The 22,187-nt window shown below is 43.3% G+C and overlaps 1 protein-coding gene across 3 annotated transcripts, besides 2 other annotated features; it reads left to right on the top strand.

The window, feature by feature from the left end:
* On the top strand, positions 7,162-21,974 carry SIX4 (SIX homeobox 4). Of its 3 annotated transcripts, XM_005267759.3 has the most exons (4): positions 7,162-7,257; positions 7,466-8,301; positions 11,068-11,753; positions 17,310-21,974. In XM_005267759.3, the coding sequence occupies exons 1-4, from the start codon at positions 7,255-7,257 to the stop codon at positions 18,104-18,106; spliced, it is 2,322 nt and encodes a 773-aa protein (XP_005267816.1). In that variant the 5' UTR covers positions 7,162-7,254; the 3' UTR covers positions 18,107-21,974. The 3 variants fall into 3 exon arrangements, with proteins under 3 accessions (XP_005267816.1, NP_059116.3, XP_047287430.1); NM_017420.5 differs by having other exon boundaries at positions 7,162-8,301; XM_047431474.1 differs by lacking the exons at positions 11,068-11,753; positions 17,310-21,974 and adding an exon at positions 10,369-10,405 and having other exon boundaries at positions 7,162-8,301.
* Positions 7,680-7,749: a silencer, noted in NCBI's record as "silent region_5816". NCBI's record gives its function as "represses an Ori minimal core promoter by ATAC-STARR-seq in GM12878 lymphoblastoid cells {active_cell/tissue: GM12878}" and the evidence as "EXISTENCE:reporter gene assay evidence [ECO:0000049][PMID:35858748]".
* Positions 9,028-9,097: a silencer, noted in NCBI's record as "silent region_5815". NCBI's record gives its function as "represses an Ori minimal core promoter by ATAC-STARR-seq in GM12878 lymphoblastoid cells {active_cell/tissue: GM12878}" and the evidence as "EXISTENCE:reporter gene assay evidence [ECO:0000049][PMID:35858748]".

The following is a 22,187-nucleotide window of genomic DNA, read 5'->3' as shown; positions in this document are numbered from 1 at the left end:
GAACTCATCCTTTTTCATGGCTGCGTAGTATTCCATGGTGTATATGTGCCACATTTTCTTAATCCAGTCTATCACTGATGGACATTTGGGTTGGTTCCAAGTCTTTGCTATTGTGAATAGTGCTGCAATAAACATACATGTGCATGTGTCTTTATAGTAGCATGATTTATAATCCTTTGGGTATATGCCCAGTAATGGGATGGCTGGGTCAAATGGTATTTCTAGTTCTAGATCTTTGAGGAATCGCCCCACTGTCTTCCACAATGGCTGAACTATTTACACTCCCACGAACAGTGTAAAAGCATTCCTATTTCTCCATATCCTCTCCAGCACCTGTTGTTTCCTGACTTTTTAATGATCACCATTCTAACTGGTGTGAGGTGGTATCTCATTGTGGTTTTGATTTGCATTTCTCTGATGACCAGTGATGATGAGCATTGTTTCATGTGTCTGTTGGCTGCATAAATCTCTTCTTTGGAAAAGTGTCTGTTCATATCCTTTGTCCACTTTTTGATGGGGTTGTTTGACTTTTTTCTTGTAAATTTGTTTAAGTTCTTTGTAGATTCTGGATATTAGCCCTTTGTCAGATGAGTAGATTCCAAAAATTTTCTCCCAGTCTGTAGGTTGCCTGTTCATTCTGATGGTAGTTTCTTTTGCTGTGCAGAAGCTCTTTAGTTTCATTAGATCCCATTTGTCTATTTTAGCTTTTGTTGCCATTGCTTTTGGTGTTTTAGTCATGAAGTCCTTGCCCATGCCTATGTCCTGAATGATATTGCCTAGGTTTTCTTCTAGGATTTTTATAATTTTAGGTCTAACATTTAAGTCTTTAATCCATCTTGAATTAATTTTTGTATAAGGTGTAAGGAAGGGATCAAGTTTCAGCTTTCTACATATGGCTAGCCAGTTTTCCCAGTAGCATTTATTAAATAGGGAATCCTTTCCCGATTTCTTGTTTTTGTCAGGTTTGTCAAAGATCAGATGGTTGTAGATGTGTGGTGTTATTTCTGAGGCCTCTGTTCTGTTCCATTGGTCTATACATTTCTGAAGACAGCTGAATCCCAAAAGTGGAAAAATTGAGGCCCTTATTTCTCTTCCCAAGTCTGCTCATCCTCTAGCATTCCTACCTCAGTTAACAGTAGATTCTATGGGAATGGGACAGTGTTTCTCAAATGCAGACCTTCTTTTCCAGCCCCAAGGCTATGGACCCAGGTTGGGCTTTCCTCATCGGAAGAGGATACTTACTGTTTTCTCCCTTTACTAAGGACAGCATCTCTACTCCACTTCTTTTGGGAAATAGTCCTTAGTCCCTCACCCCACATGTATGTGGTTCTACTAGGTCTGTTAATCACAATGCCTGCCCCCTGGCACAGGGGTTGGCATGACACCTTTATTGGCTGTGAACTTCCTCAGGAACCAGAAACTCCGATTGAACTGGCCTAGGCAAAAAGTTGAATTTATTGGATCACAATATCAAACAATGTGAAGAGCAGGAGTGCAGCTGGCTGGACTTGAAGACCTGCTATCCCATTTCACTTGCCTCTGTCTTTCTCATCAGGTTAGTTTTCAAAGGAGCTTTCTCCAAAACCTTAGAAACATGGCTCCCAGTAGCTCCAAGCTCACATTTTACATTTTCATCAAAGAGGCTCTGCTGCTTTTCCCTTACTGCCAATTTGAACAATTCTTCCCTAGGCCAGTTCAAGTGGGGTCTCTGGATCCTGGGGAAATTCATATCACCATAAAAAAGTAAGAGTGCTGCTATGCTTGGGAGATGACTAGAATCTGGCACTCAGTCTCTGCCAGGATGTCTTCTCTCCACTGTAGCCCATGTGACTCACTAGGTCACTCTTCATCTCACCTACTGCTTATCAGTGTCCTAAACATGCAGATACCTTGATCACTGAGAATTCCCAAGCATTATTTCTAAGATTCCCTCTACTAGTCTTCCTTAATTCTTCCAGTACAAGTTTGAAAACTCCCAGCAAAAGATTCTGAGTGTTTTGGGGCAAGTGCCCATCTTGGGTCATCAATGGTGGCCATGATATGACACACAGACATCACCACTGTATATCCCACAGCAAACAGCATTTCATTCAAAGTCCATAATTTGTCTCCAACATGCCTTTTAAGCTAATAACCCACATTTACATACAACCCACACTCCAGACACACTGGATTACTATTTCAAAAATATACCACACACCTTCACAGCTCCATGCTTTTCTCATTCTGTTTCCTCTGCTTCTCATTAACCTTTATCCTTATCCTCTCAAAATTATTGTCCTTAAAGACCTAGCTAAAAATTCACTCCCAATTGCCCTCCTCCTCTCAAAATCAGACTCTTTATCCTCACCAATCCCATATCCTATATTGTTACTTATCTTTGTCTTATCTCCCCCACAAAATTTTAAGCTCCTCAGGAACAGAGACCTCAATATATTCGTCTTTCTATCCTTTGGTACCAAACCCAGTGCCTTGAACTTAAGGCTCAGTAAGTGTTTGGCAAATAAATGATCCTTCAGAAATATTCACTACATGTCATCAACCATCACTAAATAATAATGGATGGGAGATAACTTTAGAACCTAATTTCTCTAATACACTAATAGTACCAGTACATATGCTTTTTTTCCCCCTGGGACAGGGTCTCGCTCTGTGTCCAGGCTAGAGCTCAGTGGCATGATCATGGCTTACTGGAGCCCTGGCTCAGGTGATCCTCCCACTTCAGCCTCACAAGTAGCTAGGACTGCAGGTGAGTGTCACCACACCCAGCTAATTTTTGTATTTTTTGTAGAGATGGGGTTTCACCATGTTAACCCAGGATGGTCTCAAACTCCTGGACTCAAGCGATCCATTCACCTGGGCCTCCCAAAGTGCTGGGATTACAGGTGTGAGCCACCACACCCAGCCCAAACTCACTGATGAATGAAGAAATCTCCATTCTTGATGGCAAAACCATCAAATATATTCAAGCAAAGTGTAAAATTTTGTGCTGCACCTGATTTTCTTCAATATACTAAAATGGCCAAAGATTTTTACCTACACTCATCACTGTCTTCAAGCTGGAAGGAAAAGACACAGAACAAGCAGCTTGGTTTTTTGCTCTTCACTCTCACACAATCCCAGCCTCAATCCTGTTTTCCCAAATCACAACACAGATTGATTTTTATTTTTATTTTAGATTCAGGGGGTACACGTGTAGGTTTCTTACATGGATATATTGCACGATGTTGAGGTTTAAGCTTCTATTGAACCCTTCAACCAAATAGTGAACATAGTACTCAACAGGTAGTTTTTCAACCCTTGATCCCCTTCGTCCCTCCCACCCCTTTTGGAGTCCCCAGTGTCTGTTGTTCCCATTTTTATGTCCACATGTACCCAATGTTTAGCTTCTACTTTTTTTTCCCCCCTATCATCCAGGCAGCAGCCTCAAACTCATGGACACAAGCAATCCTTCCACTTCAGTCTGCCAGGTAGCTGTAACTACAGACGCTCACCACCATGCCCAGCTATTTTTTTTTTATTTTTTGTAGAGACAGGGTCTCATTATGTTGCCCAGGCTGTTCACAAACTCCTAGCCTCAAGCTATCCTCCCAGATTGGCCTCCCAAAGCACTGGGATTACAGGTATGAGCCACTGCACCCAGCCTAGCTCCCACTTATAAATAACATGCAGTATTTGGTTTTCTGTTTTGGATTAATTCACTTAAGACAACAGCTTCCAGCAGCAACCATGTTACTACAAAGGACATGATTTCATTCTTTTTTATAGCTGTGTAGTATTCCATGAGCAACACAGTTTTAGACAGCATATCAATACAACAGACTCAATGTTCACAGCATGGCACACATAGGAAGTAGAAGCAAGTATTCATCAATTTTACAACACATTTGGCAAAACCAGTGCTCTGGGATAAACTCTACACACCTTCAGGTCTAGTATTCCATTCCAATGTAACTGACCATGTTTGAGTCTACTTTGAATTGCTGGCAGAATGAGCTCTGAGTGTCAACTGGCTAAAGGAACCTGGATCTTGGTGTGGATTTCACAGCTGGTCCTACTGGAGGTATGGAATAGCAATGTAGCTAGCTACAGGCTACAGATGTCATAAAAAGCCACTGTTGCTTCTATATAATCTGTTGAACTTGATGCTCTAGAGGCAAATATACAGAAGACATGCAGAAGTGGTTTTCCAAGTCAATGCACTATATTTGATTGATAATAATTCTGAAGCAGACTCCTGTGACCTGGTTTGGGATGGCTCCAAACATAGCCAAAGGAATTTTCACTAGGTATATACAACTAAAAAGTCTCCTACTTTGCAATATCAGGAAGAAGATAACAAACATTTACCAAGGATTAATTACTCACCAGGTGCTTTCTGGCACATCTTATCTCATTTAATCCTCACAACAACTTAGTCGACTTTTTATAGTCAAGTAGCTAATAAATGGAAGAGCTAGGATTAAACCTGTGTCTAGCTATCTGATCCTCAAATCCACATCCTTTCCACTAAACCACACCATATCCTGTCTACTTTGTTCTGAGAAATGTGCTTTAAAATTTCAAGGAATTAAATGCAACATGGTCTCCTGGATTGGATCATAGGACAGAAAACAGACATTAATGAAAAAAAAAACTGGTGAAATCCAAATAAAGTCTAGAGGTTAGTTAATAGAAATGCGCCAATGTTAATTTGTTTAGATAAATATAGCATTATCATGTAAGATGTTAAAATTAAAGGGAACTAGGTGAAAGGTAAGTGGAAACTCTACTATTTTGGTAACTTTTCTGTAAATGAAAAGCATTCCAAATAAAAAATATATTTTTAAAAAAATTTGGCCAGGTGTGGTGGCTCATGCCTCTAATCCCAGCACTCTGGGAGACTGAGGTGGGCGGATCACTTGAGGTCAGGAATTTAAGACCAGCCTGGCCAACATGGTGAAACCCCATCTCTACTAAAAATACAAAAATTAGCTGGGTGTGGTTGGCAGGTGCCTGTAATCCCAGCTACTCGGGAGGCTGATGCAGGAGAATCACTTGAAACCAGGAGGGGCAGGTTGCAGTGAGCTGAGATCATGCCACTGCACTTCAGCCTGGGCATCAGAGAGAGACCCTGTCTCAAACAAAAACAAACAAGCAAACAAAAATTCAAGGAAGTTCTGAATCTCAGTTATTGTCCTGAAGCTTGGTACCTAACTGGATGTTTCCAGTGGAGTAGAAACACATGGTCTTGGCCGGGCGCGGTGGCTCACGCCTGTAATCCCAGCACTTTGGGAGATCGAGGCGGGCGGATCACGAGGTCAGGAGATCGAGACCATCCTGGCTAACACGATGAAACCCCATCTCTACTAAAAATATAAAAAATTAGTCGGGCATGGTGGCACGCGCCTGTAGTGCCAGCTACTCAGGAGACTGAGGCAGGAGAATCGCTTGAACCCGGGAGGCAGAGGTTGCAGTGAGCCAAGATCACGCCACTGCACTCCAGCCCGGGCAACAGAGTGAGACTCCATCTCAAAAAATAAATAAATAAATAAATAAATAAATAAGCAAATAAATAATATGGCCTTTTCTGTTGTTATAAATTTTAAATCTACCAGCGATGTCAACACATTAGGGTAATGCAAAAACAAGTTAAATCCTACATCAAATGACATCTTGATTGACCAGCAATAAAATAAAGCCTGTCTACAAAAAAAAAGAAAATCTCACCAAGTTTATCATGACGGCAGGTGACCTAGACAGCTGCTTTGTAATATGCTGAAGTAGGCAGCTATGAGTAGCTGGGAAGCATACACAATACAAGGCCACCCTGAAGCAAAGGTTAGGATGATGTCATTAAAATGTTGAATTTTGAGAGGCCGAGGCGGACGGATCACGAGGTCAGGAGATCGAGACCATCCTGGCTAACGTGGTGAAACCCCGTCTCTACTAAAAAATACAAAAAAAAAAAAAAAAAAAAAATTAGCTGGGCGTGGTGGCGGGCGCCTGTAGTCCCAGCTACTCGGGAGGCTGAGGCAGGAGAATGGCGTGAACCCAGGAGGCGGAGCTTGCAGTGAGCCGAGATCACACCACTGCACTCCAGCCTGGGCGACAGAGCGAGACTCCATCTCGGGGGGAAAAAAAGTTGAATTTTGAGAAAGAGCAGCAGCAGGCAAACCCAACTGACCTACAGTAATCAAAGAAGCAGAAATGGATCATCCCTTTTGGAATTAAGATCTTGTGCAAATTACAAAGGAAAGAGACACAACTGCAAACAACAAAAGACTCTACCCCCACTTCAGCATCAAACCAGAGGGCAATCTGTCTATGCTGTGGAAAAGGGCTTCTGATCCTGCACTGATCTGGATGACACCCGCACATTCAGTGTTTCTAGCCTATCATCGTTAAAAAAGAAATACTCATATACTTACATTAAAAAGTTCATGTAGAAAACTTAAATTTCCATATTTAAAGCTTAGATCTCTTCCACACGACTCATCCAGGATAAACTTATGGTTTAATATTCTACATGTTTAATTATACCATGTTCAACTCAGTTGGGTTGCCAGCCCTCCACGTGGCTTAAGGTTAAGTACATTTTTTGAAGGCTTCTTGTTTTTGTCTTCTCAGTGTGCTATTTATGCTGCTAATTATAAGGTTTTCAAGCATTTTTCCCTCTTTGGAATTTTAATTTACTGTAAATGCTTGCCCCTTAGAACATTTCCTAGTGTCATTTTATTTTTGACCGTTTTGAATACAAAATCCTTGATAAAGACATCCAAAAAGAGGGAGAATGGGGAACAGGGACATACTGGGGGGCTTCTGAATTGTCCTCTGAAGTTTTGTCATCTAGATGCTGAGGGTGGTCTCTTTGTTAAAAATTTAACCATCCAGACCTTAAGGCCACACAATTAATATTCCCTCTGGAATTGTAGGGCCTCTGTTTGAAAGAGTTGTCCAGTTTTCAGGCCACATTAGGTAATTTCCCGCCCAGGAGCGTGGCTTGGAAAGAATGTCGGTGTTTTCCTTCAGGTATAGGTGCCTGGGGGTCAGGAGGGGAGGGAAAGGCGAGGGGTGGAGTGGGAGGCGGGTGATCGACAGGGATAGAAACTGTGTCTCCTCCTCCCTCTGAATGCGAAATAGCCAATGAGGTGGCTAGGCCGGGCCGGCCCGGCCGCCACTGCCATATAGTATGCAGCAACCGGAGGAGTCACGTTGGGGGAACGGCAGAAAGCAGCTATCCGTTTACACTACTTTGCTCTAACAGCTATCTTAATGGTGACTGCGTGGCCGGGGGGAAACCTGATCGGCCAGATACAGCCGAAACCAGGAGGGAGGGAGTGGGCTTTCCGGAGGGGGAGAGGAGGGAGGGAGACGAAGGAGGAGGAGTAAGAGAGGAGGAAAGAAAGAGGAAAAGAGTGCGAGGGAGTGAGGGAGGGAGGAAAATAAACAACAAAAAATGTCCTCTTCCTCCCCCACCGGGCAGATCGCAAGTGCGGCGGACATCAAGCAAGAGAATGGGATGGAAAGCGCCTCGGAAGGGCAGGAGGCGCACCGAGAAGTGGCGGGGGGCGCGGCGGTAGGGCTGAGCCCCCCGGCTCCAGCCCCTTTTCCCCTGGAGCCGGGGGACGCCGCGACCGCTGCCGCCAGGGTGAGCGGAGAGGAAGGGGCAGTGGCGGCGGCGGCGGCCGGAGCGGCGGCGGATCAGGTACAACTCCACTCGGAACTTCTGGGCAGGCACCACCACGCCGCCGCCGCCGCCGCGCAGACCCCGCTGGCCTTCTCGCCCGACCACGTCGCCTGCGTGTGCGAGGCACTGCAGCAGGGGGGCAACCTGGACCGCCTGGCCCGGTTCCTGTGGTCCCTGCCCCAGAGCGACCTGCTACGTGGCAACGAGAGCCTGCTGAAGGCGCGGGCGCTCGTGGCCTTCCACCAGGGCATCTACCCCGAGCTCTACAGCATCCTCGAGAGCCACAGCTTCGAGTCGGCCAACCACCCGCTGCTGCAGCAGCTCTGGTACAAGGCGCGCTACACCGAGGCCGAGCGAGCCCGCGGCCGGCCGCTGGGAGCCGTAGACAAGTACCGGCTGCGCAGGAAATTCCCCCTGCCCCGCACCATCTGGGACGGCGAGGAGACGGTGTATTGTTTCAAGGAGAAGTCGCGCAACGCGCTCAAGGAGCTCTACAAGCAGAATCGCTACCCTTCGCCCGCCGAGAAGCGGCACCTGGCCAAGATCACCGGCCTCTCCCTCACCCAGGTCAGCAACTGGTTCAAGAACCGCCGGCAGCGCGACAGGAACCCCTCCGAGACCCAGTCCAAAAGGTGAGCGCCAACTTTCCTCCTCCTCCCCCTTCCTCTCCCCCACCCCCTTCCCGGCTTTCTTTTCCTCCAAGTGCTCGCAAACATGGCGCTTACCTTCCCCACCAGCCTGGTCCGGCTGCCCACCTCTCCCCGCCCCCTACCTCGCTCCCCGGCCGGCAGAGGTAGGGGGCGGCGGAGGCGGGGGGCGGGGGAACCTCCCTCCTTACCCTCCCCCTCTCCCCCCAGAAGTTTCTGGTCGCCCGCCTAGGTCTCAGTCCCCGCCCCCACCTCGGCTGGTCACTGCTGCCCAGCTTCCCACCCCCATCCCGCTGGCTTTGAAGTTGCCACCCTCTCCCCGTTTCTGGAGGGGCTAACGAAGCAAATGTGGACACCGGCACCGTAGCTCTCCCTGCCGCCCGAGGCCCGCAGAGACTGCCGGCGCCGGCCGGGGTCTGCACCTCCGCGAGGTCACACCGGGCCTGGCGCGCGCGCACGCTCCCGGATCCCCAGGGTTCAGCCGCCCCCCGGGCCTGCGCTGGAGGTCGCGGTGGCTGCTCTGGTGAAGGGAAGAGAGTGTTGTGGGACTGGCGGCGCAGAAGGGGTCTCGGAACGTCGAGGTTTCATATGACAGAGTTAATCATTCACCCTGCCCCTATGGTTCCCTTAGCGGCCGCGGCAACGTGGGGTGCTGGTGCAGCTCGGCTCTGTCATGTTTTGAAACCTGATTCTGAACTCCTTAGGATCGGGTTTCAGCGCAGCCGGGGTAGCAGGGCTGAAGGGCTGCTTCCTCCCTCGGCCCCCGAACGCTGCTTGGCTCCCTCCTGGTACGGTAGTTATGGGTGGGGGGCAGGCCGGCTTACGGCGGGCGGCAGCAAAGGAGTGGGGGCGCTCCCACCCCACTGGGTTTGAGCTTTTTGCCTGGCAGACTGCTTTCCCCCTCTGGTAAAAAAAATACCGGATTTTCCACCTCTTTTGTGCGTCCTCCCGAGTCAGACACTTGGTGTGTGCGTCTGTGTGTTTTGTTGGACGAAACAAAGTAAGGAGAAGGTCGCCTAAAGACCTGGTGTCTCCAGCCCCGCGGGGATAGGAGAGAAAGAATCCAAAAGCAGCTCGAAGGTTCTTCTCGGGGAAGCAAACTGGGAGCCGGGGATCCAGCCCGCCTGCGCCAGGTGAAGGTGATCACCAGCGCATTCCAGAGCCGGTCTCAGCCCGCCCTTGCCGCTTCTGGGCCCCTGTGGGGGTCCGACGGCTCGGGCTCCGGCGTTCCTCGCCCAAGGCTGGGAGGGAGGCTTGGTGCCCTATCCGGCCCTCGCGGTAACCAAAACAAAAGGTGCACCGGGATGTGCGTGCGCCTTCCGCAGATATGCGGAGAGGTCCAGAGAAGGCGCTTTGGTTACGCCGAGCCACCTGCCCTGCGCCCACTAGAGGCCGCGGATCCCGCGCTCGGAAACCAACGGAATCCGCAGGGCCGGGGCAGAGGGTGGCAAGGGGGCACCGCGAGCAGGCCAGCTGCTCCGCCGCCTCCGCTCGCGAGCCGGGCACGCTCCCTGGGACTCCCCCACGCTCCACTGCTGGCTTCTTCGTCCCCCCCGCCCCACCCCATAAACTCCACACCCACCCCGCCGCCGGCCCAGTTGCCTGGTTTAGGCCCCTCTCCGGATCTACCTCCCACCCGCACCCCCGGTGAGTCACCCTCGCAGACGGCGACGGCGGCTCAGCCTCAGCTTGTAAATCAAAGCGCTTTCTGCGCTCCTGGCCCCGCAGCCCAAAGCCCGGGTAATCCCCTCCCCTCGGCATGAAAGCGAACCGACCGCGGGGCACTGCGGGGATGTCGGATCCTCTGCTGGGCCAAGTCCTGCTGCGCTTCCAAAACGCCTCTGTTCTGCTCTCGTTTGCTCTCCCTCCCAGCCTCAGACCAAATGGGAAACCCCATCACTACCCACCCCCCAACCCCGATTTGGTATTTCTCCCAAGTCAGAGAGCTGAGGAACAGGGTCCTGCCTGGAACAGAGGGACCAAGGACGTTGGGGAAGAGGTCTAATAGTTAGAAGGCCTCTGAGTGACACCCTTTCCCTCCCACCTCACCAGGGCACTGGATGGTGTTTGTTAAATAGGCCCCTTTGGCTTCCTTTGGATTCAAAGGCGACTGCACATAACTGTTCTTGGGTTGAAAGTGCCTTTTCCTACAACAAGGACAGCCACTTTGTTGAATGAGAGAGTTGTCAGTCTGGTGGAGTAGAAGTTTGGGAGCAGGTGAGAAAACGATCTCTTGTTAACTAACTGACCAAAAAAGAAAAGCTGAGCACTTCCTACCTCCTGCTCCTTTGGCAGCTTCATTTACCTCCAAGATAACACTAATCTGAATTGGTTTGAGGGGAGGGGAAGGAGTTCCTAAACAGGAAAGACCGACCACCTCATTTAAGGTGTTTTTTTCTATGGTGTCAGTAGCAGCATATGTAACAGTAAGGAATAGCACTTCTACACTGTAAAATCAAATATGTTCTTCTCCTGTAATGCTGAATTTACATCTTGCAGATGTCTGGACTTTCCCTGAATTTATTGTTATTTTAAATGATTGGGATCTGAGAGTTTATCTTCCCAGATTCTCTGGCTGGTCGGAATCTGCTGAAAGGCCTCTTAGTTTAAATAGGACTAGCAGATATCCTGCTGTGCTTTCCTTAAATACTGCCTTTAATGGATTTAGAAGCTGGTTTTCCAAACAAGTGGCACTGTGTAGAATGTCATCCCCCTGACCTTCTGAACATTTTGATTTCCCCCTCCATACAGTGAGTCAGATGGCAACCCCAGCACTGAAGATGAATCCAGCAAGGGACATGAGGATTTATCTCCTCACCCACTCTCCAGTTCATCTGATGGCATCACCAACCTCAGCCTTTCCAGTCATATGGAGCCAGTATATATGCAACAAATTGGAAATGCTAAGATATCATTAAGCTCTTCTGGAGTTCTGTTGAATGGAAGCTTGGTACCTGCAAGTACTTCACCTGTCTTCCTTAATGGAAATTCTTTTATTCAGGGACCCAGTGGAGTTATCCTTAATGGATTAAATGTGGGAAATACACAGGCAGTGGCATTGAACCCACCAAAAATGTCATCAAACATTGTGAGCAATGGTATATCCATGACTGACATACTGGGGTCTACTTCCCAGGACGTGAAGGAATTCAAAGTCCTCCAGAGTTCTGCTAACTCAGCAACCACCACGTCCTACAGCCCCAGTGTCCCTGTCTCATTCCCAGGCCTGATACCCAGCACTGAGGTGAAAAGAGAAGGCATTCAAACAGTGGCTTCCCAAGATGGAGGGTCTGTAGTGACTTTTACTACACCAGTGCAAATTAACCAGTATGGCATTGTCCAGATCCCCAATTCCGGAGCAAACAGCCAGTTCCTTAATGGGAGCATTGGATTCTCTCCACTGCAGCTGCCCCCTGTGTCAGTGGCAGCTTCACAAGGTAACAATCTCATTTGGTACCTTAATGCACCAGCAAATGTGTTCATCAGCTGCTGTAAGTGACGCATTTGGTGATAGCTATAGATTGATGTTTCTGTTCAGGTACCTTATTAGCTGCCGAAGCTGTAGAGTAGCCTTGATGTGATTCTCCTCTTTCACAATACCCATGTCATATCCAGGTTGCTTTATTCCCTTGCATCATGAGGATGGGCTTTTATTTTACTAACAACTGAATGGAAAAATACAGTTCATAGCAAGTCCTGCCAGTTCTACAATTACAGAAATATGATAAGTCAATCAGTGCTTACAAAATAACTCACTGCTTGGCATTTTAATATTAAAAATTAATAAAATTGCTAAGAACACAAAATTAGTCTAGCAGTTGGTAAGAATGCATACACTTTACCTAAGCATTATTTATTTGACCAAAAAATGTTTTAGAAGAACAAGCTAAAAAGACCGGATCAATTATGTTTGAATCCTGTTTCCTCCTATAATGAAGACTAACAGACCTAAAAGAAAATCAGAGGAATATGCCATTGGATTTCTATCGCTCAGCATATATACTAACCCCCTAAATGTGTGGGTTTATTTGTGAAGATAATAGTAAGCCTTATTTTATATGTTTGTGGCTTTACTAACAGCAATCTTCCAGAGAAAGCACTTAAATGAAATTCAGGAAAACTGAGGCTGATATATTAGTTCTTCACTGACTTTAAGCAAGCCTGGATCCTCTATGTCATTTTCTCTTTAAAGAAATAGAAATGGTTAGAATTTGGCAGTGGAGTTTGCATAATCCCTTGAATTCAGGAAGGGTAGATCTTAATGCACGTTTGCCTTCTTGTAGACAAATCTGAAAATCCAGATTTTTACAAAACCAAAGTAGTAATTGTTGGCTTTAAAGGTCTGCTTCCTATAAGATGGTTTTACCACCCCCCCAAAAAAATCAATTTATGCACAACTCTCTTGTTACCACAACTATGGTCTATGTCAGCTTATTGAAGGAATTAATGGAAAAATTGTTCTAAATTTCATTCTGTACATTTGCATTTCTTTAGGCAAAATGGTACTAAAACAAGACATTCCTGCAGCATACTATTCAGTTCATCATTGTTCCAAGTTATGGAAAGAGTTAAGTTACTATCTAACATAGGGCAAAAATATGAAAACCACAGGGAAAGCCAAAGTGCTTAGTTTGATAATAATTTAATGTGGATCTAACCCCTTTTCTCTCATTTGGAAAATTTCCAAACAGGTCACATTTTAAAGGCAACAAATTTGAGCAGAAAGAATGAGTTATGTATGTTGGGGGAGGAGAAAAGTAGAAATACTTTTAATTGTGTAATCTAGAGGAGCACTGCCATAGAAAATTATTATGAACTAATAGCTGAGTTTTTAAATGGGACATTTAATAGGAATAAGAATAGCATTTTCAGTTAAAATAAGTAAGATCAAATCTTAGACTGTCTGGGTGAGTTGAACAGACAGTCTAAGTTTAACCAGATAGTTAAGTTTAATCCAGTAAGCAACATTTCTATGGTAGTTAGGTATTGCAGTTCTCAATAAAACATTTTGGGGATTCAGTTTTTTCTCACAAACAGATACTGAGCCATTCTTTAAAATGTCTTGACAAGATAGACTTATCTTTCTATAGTTGGGATTTATGTGGAAAAGTAGAATATCTACATCTTTTACTCACTTTACAGTCTGAGCAACTAAGATTATTATTATTATTATTATTATTATTTTTAGGCGGAGACTCATTTTGTCACCCAGGCTGGAGTACAGTGGCGCGATCTCGGCTCACTGCAGCCTCTGCCTCCCGTGTTCAAGTGATTATCCTGCCTCAGCCTCCCTAGTAGCTGGGACTACAGGCGTGCATCACCATGACCGGCTAATCTTCGTGTGTTTAACAGAGAGAGGGTTTTGCTATGTTGGCCAGGCTGGTCTTGAACTCCTGTGATCTGCTCACCTCAGCCTCCCAAAGTGCTGGGATTACAGGCATGAGCCACAGCGCCTGGCCTGATTTTTTTCTTATCATTACAAAGTAATGCTTTGTATCTATATGGTTTTTCAGTTGGATTTTTTTATCTTAAAATTGTTGTTCAATTTTTACTTCAGTTGTAGTTATGCTCAAAAATCAAATTTTAGATCAAATTCTCTTTTATATATGTTATAATTTCTACAAATTCAGAAGTATTTATATTCAGTAGCAGTTGGGGAAAATGTTGCATGTATTATGCTATTTATGGCTCTATAAAAAGATAACTAATCATTTTGTTCATGCATACATTGGCAAACAATTTCATAAACATACACACAATAAACTAAACATCTATTTGAGATGTTTTTTTGCCACAAATCAGCTGCCTACAAGAATTTTAAAGACGCCGGGCACAGTGGCTTACGCCTGTTAATCCCAGCACTTTAGGAGGCTAAGGCGGGTGGATCACCTGAGGTCAGGAGTTCCAGACCAGCCTAACATATTGAAACCCCGTCTCTACTAAAAAAAACAAAAATTAGGCTGGCATGGTGGCACATGCCTGTAATCCCAGCTACTTAGGAGGCTGAGGCAGGAGAATCGCTTGAACCCAGGAGGTGGAGGTTGCAGTGAGCCGAGATCACGCCATTGCACTCCAGCCTGGGCAACAAGAGCAAAACCCCTTATCTCAAAAATAAATAAATAAATAAATAAAAATAAGAGTTTTAAAGCATACTTAAGTTGAAGGCAGTGTTTTCAAATAAAAGCAGTTTTTTCATATGTGTGGTCTGAAACAGAAATGTAAGAGAATAACTGAAACATACTTAGAAATGTTTTTCTTAACACTGGTATTTCTGTGATTAAACTTTCTAGTTAAATGTTTTAAAAGGGTTCATATGCAGTGTTTTCTTTTTACTTGAAGACATTCCTTTGCATTAAAAATATTTGGAAGACATAAACAGCCCTGTGGCACTTATTTATCAATAGAGGTGATAATATAATCACAATATTCTAATACTTCAGGAAGGAAAATGTTTTAGGTGAATTAATTACCTTTAACATTGGGCTGCTCTCTCAAAAAAGTAGTTTACTGAGGCCAGATGTGGTGTCACGCCTGTAATTCTAACACTTTGGGAGGCTGAGGCAGGAGGATCACTTGAGCCCAGGAATTCCAGACCAGCCTGGGCAACATAGTGAGACCTCATCTCTACAAAAATTTTTAAAAAATTGGCCAGGCGCGGTGGCTCATGCCTGTAATCCCAGCACTTTGGGAGGCCGAGGCGGGTGGATCACAAGGTCAAGAGTTTGAGACCAGCCTGACCAACATGGTGAAACCCTGTCTCTACTAAAAATACAAAAATTAGCCAGGCATGGTGGTGCGTGCCTGTAATCCCAGCTACTCAGGAGGCTGAGTCAGGAGAATTGCTTGAACCCAGGAAGCGGAGTTTGCAGTGAGCCAAGATTGCACCACCGCACTCCAGCCTGGGTGACAGAGCGAGACTCTGTCTCAAAAAAAAATTTTTTTTTTAAATTAGCTGGGCATAGTAGTACGTACCTGTAGTCCCAGCTACTTGGGAGGCTGAAGTGGGAGGGATTGCTTGGGCCCAGGAGATCGAGGCTGCAGTGAGCCACGTTCACATAATCCCAGCACTTTGGGAGACCGAGGCTGGCAGATCACTTGAGCTCAGGAGTTCGAGAACAGCCTGGCCAACATGGTGAAACCCCATCTCTACTAAAACTACAAAAATTAGACAGGCATGGTGACATGCATCTGTAATCCCAGCTACTCAGAGGTTGAGGCAGGAGAATCACCTGGGAGGTAGAGGTTGCAGTGAGCAGAAATCGTGCCACTGCACTCCAGCCTGGGCAACAGAGCAAGACTGTCTCAAAAAAAAAAAAAAGAGTTGACTGAACATCTAATTCAAGATGAGGATAAACAGCCCACCTATCACAAAAGTTCCCCCAAATCTACCTTTCCTTCAGTGACCATATTTGAGGTCCTAGATTATCTAATTGCCATCATCTCATGCCTATGTAAGGAATCAGGAACAAAAGAGTGTTATTTGATGGTAGTGGGGGGTCTAATTCGTGTACATTGTCTAAGTGATCTGATTTGAACATCTCAGCTTTCTACTTAACATTTTTTTTTCTACTTCTGGTCTCTATAGACCATTATAGTAAGAGTCTCAAAAGATACAAACCTTTTAGAGAAGCATTAGCTCTGATCCTTTATGTTAATCTGTATTTTAAAAAGCACATTTCTTATTACCATTAATTGTTCCTATTACTACAACACTGAAAATTCAGAACTGGCACAACAAAAGGCAAAAAAGCTTTTGAATGTTTTGTTGACTTATTACTTTATGGCTAGTTTGGTGAAAGTTTGCAACTTGTCTATACAGGTTTATATGGTTAAGTTTTAAGCCCCAGGGTAACTCATTTTATGTGGTAAGTTCTGCATTGCCATTTATTTATATTTTATGTCAGTTACTGAGCAGTCAGTCCTGAATGAAGGTGCATTTGTGTTTTCTAATTCTAACTGGCAGAGCTAGCAATAACTATCAACTAATTGAGAGATGTCAAGTTACTAGTGAAGAAACAGAAACTTGACTGAATCAGAACTTGGAAAAGATTTTTTTTTTTTCACACTTGGCTTCTAACTAGTAGTTCTCAATCCCCCTTGGTCATCAGAATTACTTGGGAAGGTGGGTACTCTAGAAGCCCAGTCCCCACCATTACTCAATATACCCGTGTAACAAACATGCGCACATGCCCCCTGAATCTAATTTTTTTTTTTTTTTTTTTTTAAAGAAAGGGCCCGGGTGCTGTGGCTCACGCCTGTAATCCCAGCAATTTGGGAGGCCGAGGTGGGTGGATCACAAGGTCAAGAGATTGAGACTATCCTGGCCAACATGGTGAAACCCCGTCTCTACTAAAAATACAAAAATTAGCTGGATGTGGTGGCGCATGCCTATAGTCACAGCTACTTGGGAGGCTGAGGCAGGAGAATCACTTGAACCCAGGAGGCAGAGGTTGCAATGAGCCGAGATCGCTCCACTGCACTCCAGCCTGGTGACAGAGTGAGACTCCATCTGAAAAAAAAAAAAAGAAATAATAAGCAACAGAACCTTTGACATGTTCTATCCTCAAGACCGTTCGAGGTCATGAGACATAAAAAGTAAAGGTTTGGAAGTCACTGTGTTTTCTAAGAAGCTGATGAAAGATGGGGAACACAGGCACACCTGCGACTCAGGAACGCAAGTAGTTTTTTTGGCTGTGTTGTTGTTGGGGTTAAACATAAAAGATGTCTCCATACAAAATATATCTATATATATATTTACTTGGAGAGGTAAAAACAGATGTTCTAAGATGTACTAAGTTACACTTTCAAGGAGTAGAGCCTGGGAATCTGTAGTTTTAGGTGCCCAAGGTAATTCTGAACCAGAATTGGGCTAAATGATTGTATGGAAGTGTTGCTTCTTTATAGATACTGTACCTGAGAAAAAAACGTGTGTGTAACTTTTTTTCTTTCCCTCTCACTTCCATCAGTGATAATCAGTACTTTATTTTTTTTAGGTAATATCTCAGTAAGCTCAAGCACTTCAGATGGAAGCACATTTACAAGTGAGTCTACCACAGTCCAGCAAGGAAAGGTTTTCTTGAGCTCTCTTGCTCCCAGTGCAGTGGTATACACGGTTCCTAATACAGGCCAGACTATAGGATCTGTGAAACAGGAAGGCTTGGAAAGGAGCCTGGTATTTTCTCAGTTGATGCCTGTCAATCAGAATGCACAAGTAAATGCAAACCTGTCTTCTGAAAACATCTCGGGGAGTGGCCTGCATCCACTGGCCTCCTCATTAGTTAATGTATCTCCAACTCACAATTTTTCTCTCAGTCCCTCTACACTACTAAATCCCACTGAGCTAAACCGCGACATTGCCGATAGCCAACCAATGTCTGCACCGGTGGCAAGCAAATCTACTGTGACATCTGTCAGCAACACTAACTATGCAACTCTTCAGAACTGCTCCCTTATTACTGGTCAAGACCTATTGTCAGTCCCTATGACTCAGGCTGCCCTTGGGGAAATAGTTCCTACAGCTGAAGATCAGGTAGGTCACCCCTCCCCAGCAGTACATCAGGATTTTGTCCAAGAACATCGTTTGGTTCTGCAATCGGTAGCTAACATGAAAGAGAATTTCTTATCAAATTCTGAGAGCAAAGCAACAAGTAGCTTAATGATGCTGGACTCTAAATCCAAGTATGTCTTAGATGGCATGGTTGATACTGTCTGTGAAGACCTGGAAACAGACAAAAAAGAGCTTGCCAAGCTCCAGACTGTCCAGCTGGATGAAGATATGCAAGACTTATGAACTTTATTTCCTCCTCACCTCTTTTTGGCATCAGCGGCAAATCTTTTCATGAAGCCCCAAGGACACAAAACATTTTCCCATTTAAAGGAAAACACTCTAGTTTTGCAAGTATATGCATACAAGAGACTTTAGATTGATCTGCATGAAGATCACAGTTAAGTATACAGGAGTAGAACTGCATTATTGCAGCCTTTTTGTTCACTTATAAATTTCTCTTTTAAATAGATGGAGACAAAGGACAAGGTGAAATGTATCAAGTCAAAGTGAATCATTTAGTTGACTCTATAATTCTAAGGTCAAAATGGAACTTGATAGTTTTTTAAATTAAAAAATGTATACACCTAACATAGAAAATTAAAGATAGCTGCAGACCATTAGAAATAATACAATTGTTTTTGTTTACTTTTACTCCATGGGCATTGAAAAGGTTAAGAAACATAAATGGTACATATTTTTAAAGTTAAGTAGCATGCATATATATATGCACACACACCTCTTTTTCAGCATTTTTTGAGAAAGTCTTGGGTCTCAAACACATTTGTCTCAACACATTTCCAAATGTGATTTCTAATAGCTCAGTGTGGCTGAGAAAGTGCGGAACTCCACTAAAAACTCTGAAACTTCAGTATAAATGTAAATATATCAGTTCTATAAGCAGGATTTGAGTAATTACAGTGAATTTTATTTTTAATGTATATGTTTCTCTTCAGGCGCTATGAACTGAAAAATATGTTTTCTTACTGTTTAATTTATTTTTATTGTTTGAACAGGAAGTGAACATAGTCGTTTCCAACAAAGTTTTACTTTTTGTAGGATTTTAAAAATAATGATTTTTACCAGGAATCTATTAAGGTCAATATTAATAACACTGAAACAGGAAATCTAACTCCCAATATTGGAATTTTGGTACTTTTTTTCACATCCTTGTTCTTTATTTAGCAACTCTGATTCATTTAAATATGTTTTTTATAGAATTCTATGTGCCTTTTTACCTCGTGGCCTTTTTATTGGTAGTAAGGTACAGAAGTGTCAACAGAAGCACTGATGGTTCTTTTCTACTATCTAACAGGGTTAATTTCACCACAAAATTGCTTTAAATCTGAAGAACTTAAGTTTCACTAAATAATATATATGACATTTATCACACAAATGGATAAACAACTAATTATTGTTGATACTTTTCATTACAAGGAAAATAAGTTATAAATACCATGTCAAATTGATTATACAGGCTATGAAAACCATTTTAAAGGAAAGAAAATATGTAAATTCTATTGAGCAAAATTCTGTCCTGTTGAAACTTAGTTCTAAAGGTTTTGAATCAGTTGTTACACTCTGACACATGACTGTTGTTTGCACTATATTATCATGTCTTCTTTAAAAGTAAATATTTTTGGTTTCTGTAAGAAGCTTGTTTAATAATGTTGTAAGCCGTGGCTATAGTTTTATCAAGACTCTGAACACAAGATGTAACAATGCAAATAAATTTATGTAGTGAGTAAAGTTGCTCTCTAGTCTCTGAAAAGCAAAAAAAGTGAGAAAATAATTTCTTCAGAGATAACTTCAAGTTGTTGAACATAAAGGTGTTAGATGTTAGCACATCTTGCTTTTTTTTTTTTTTTGAGATGGAGTCTCGCTCTGTTGCCCAGGCTGGAGTGCAGTGGCACGATCTTGGCTCACTGCAAGCTCTGCCTCCTGGGTTCACGCCATTCTCCTGCCTCAGCCTCCCGAGTAGCTGGGACTACAGGCACCTGCCACCATGCCCGGCTAAATTTTTGTATTTTTAGTAGAGACGGGGTTTCACCGTGTTAGCCAGGATGGTCTTGATCTCCTGACCTCGTGATCTGCCCGCCTCGGCCTCCCAAAGTGCTGGGATTATAGGCATGAGCCACTGTGCCTGGCCACATCTTGCTTTTTTTTTTATGATCAGAACAAAGGGCCCACTCTAGTTCTCTACATGTCAATCAATCAAGCATGTTGAATAAGGGACATAGAGGATTTAACTTTTGTTATCATAAATGGAACTTGCAGGCATATATCAAGAACCCTATGAAGAATTCCTCTCCCATCATTTTGATAAAGAACTACATCATTTTTGATAGAATTGGTGAATGTTCCTAAACTGCTGAAGCTACATGTTTTTTGTTTTGTTTTACAAAGTCAGGTGTTTGAGAGTTCTTTTCCACTCTACTACTACTCATAGAGCTTGTTTTTTCTTTGGGTGTGTGCTGATCCTGTTACTGAGATTAATTACATGGCTCTGCAGTGTAGTTTACATAAAAATGATGTTTTCCACTTGATTGCTGCAGATATCAAGAGTTTGTTATTTTCAAATACCCATCCAACAAGAGAGATGGGGAGGTTTTTAGTTATATATGCTATATATATATATATAACTGGAAATGTTTTATATGTTTTCCGAAAATACAATAAGCCTCTCTTTTATTCAGTGTTCTTCCTCTTTTCTCCCTTATGAAAAAGAAAAGATAGCACAAAACTTAAGACTTACCTAGGAAACCCATTCATATTCCCACCATGATGTAATTATAACCCTACAATTACTTCAGGTAGCTACACAATATACCAGGTAAGAATCAATGCACAGTATAAAGAACTTATTGTTCTTTTCTATTCTTTCAGTTGAATAAGGGCCAGTTGGTATGCAGCCCATGTATATGTGAATGGAGTAAGATAAACCCCATGATCTCCTTGCACAGAATTGCAAATGTCTTTTGCCATACCAAGGGCCAGACTCAGAACCCTTGGAGTCATGTGGCAGAATTTCCCTCTTACATAAACCAATGCTTGAAAATGCTGCAAATGACCCTCTAATGATCCCTGAAGATCAAAACAGGGGTAAATGACTCCCTGCAAAACCCAACCCATGCTGCTGGCTGTGGGATTTTTGGTGTAAGCCTATCTATGCACTCTATCAGCCAGAATTTGGCATTTAGCTCTTAGTTAAATCTAGTAAAGGACAGTCTATTGTTTAAAGAGAAGGTGCATTTGTTCCTCAATCAAGCAAGAGCACCTGTGTTGTACTGCTTTATATCTCATGTATATTTATAGTAATGAAAAGACTTTTTAAATTGTACACGTTTCAGTGCCTTTCTTGTGTTATGAAAGGCAGGTAGATATTATAGCCATAGGTAAAAATCCATAGTTAAATTGCACACTGACCTTAAATCTCTCTGTGTATGCCCTTGTATCTTGCATGTTAAAAGTTGGATTATTGGGCATGTGTGGCAGCCTGCCCTGCTACATGCTAGACAAGTGTGCTTTAGTACATAGCCACAAGTTCTTCATTCTTTAAAATGTTTTGACAGATCATCTCATAATAAAAATAATTCAGGAAAACTATGGGGAAATAGTTACATTTCACAAAAGATATTTTAAACTCTTTGTAAAACTTAGATAATAGAGCCTAGCAGTTACTTTGTATCTAATTGATACATTTTATGTTAATTTACCACCATACATTTTATTAATCAAAATTGTATAGCATGTGACTCTTTTGGCTTTCAGAGTTCTCAAAAATATTATTTTGTTGCATGTACTGTATGTTTAGAGGCAACCAATTATATACTCAATATGGTTTTACTGTGCCTTACACAAAGAGAAACTCTATACAGAATGTATATCATGGGGTGGGGTAACAGAGTCTTTACTGCACTGTTAGGTGATGGCACACAGAGCATGTCCCAGAACATTTCTGTGCTTAATTACCCAACCAAAGAGATCTGAAGTATGTATGTCGTACTGTAATGGGGGTTTATGCCTGGACAATTAAGTGTTTTATTTGTTTTCTGAAATGATGTGAACTTATTTTTCTAAACACTATGCTAAATAAACTTTATATTTATACATACCTTGCATTGAAAATTATTTGGGAAATATTGTGTTTTTTTAAATATGAATGACTCATCTTACTAGAAAAGAAAAAAGAAATAATGTTGGTTTTATTTATCTCTGGAAAAGGGAAGAAGAGGAAGGGAAAAAACAAACATTCCAAAAGCTGGCAAATGGTTATAAGGCCAATTGGAGTGATTTTGGAAAAATAATCTTTGTCAGTCGTTGTGCA

The sequence above is a fragment of the Homo sapiens genome, chromosome 14 (assembly GCF_000001405.40).
Source record: "Homo sapiens chromosome 14, GRCh38.p14 Primary Assembly".
In the NCBI taxonomy this organism is placed as follows: Eukaryota; Metazoa; Chordata; class Mammalia; order Primates; family Hominidae; genus Homo; species Homo sapiens.
This window is presented reverse-complemented; position numbering and strand designations above follow the sequence as displayed.

What these genes read in the sequence shown, in the direction of transcription:
- SIX4 (NM_017420.5), top strand. Translation starts at nt 7,439, where the DNA reads ATGTCCTCTTCCTCCCCCACCGGGCAGATCGCAAGTGCGGCGGACATC. An exon ending in TCCGAGACCCAGTCCAAAAG is followed by an intron (nt 8,302 to 11,067) that starts GTGAGCGCCAAC and finishes CCCTCCATACAG; the next exon opens with TGAGTCAGATGGCAACCCCA. An exon ending in GTCAGTGGCAGCTTCACAAG is followed by an intron (nt 11,754 to 17,309) that starts GTAACAATCTCA and finishes TATTTTTTTTAG; the next exon opens with GTAATATCTCAGTAAGCTCA.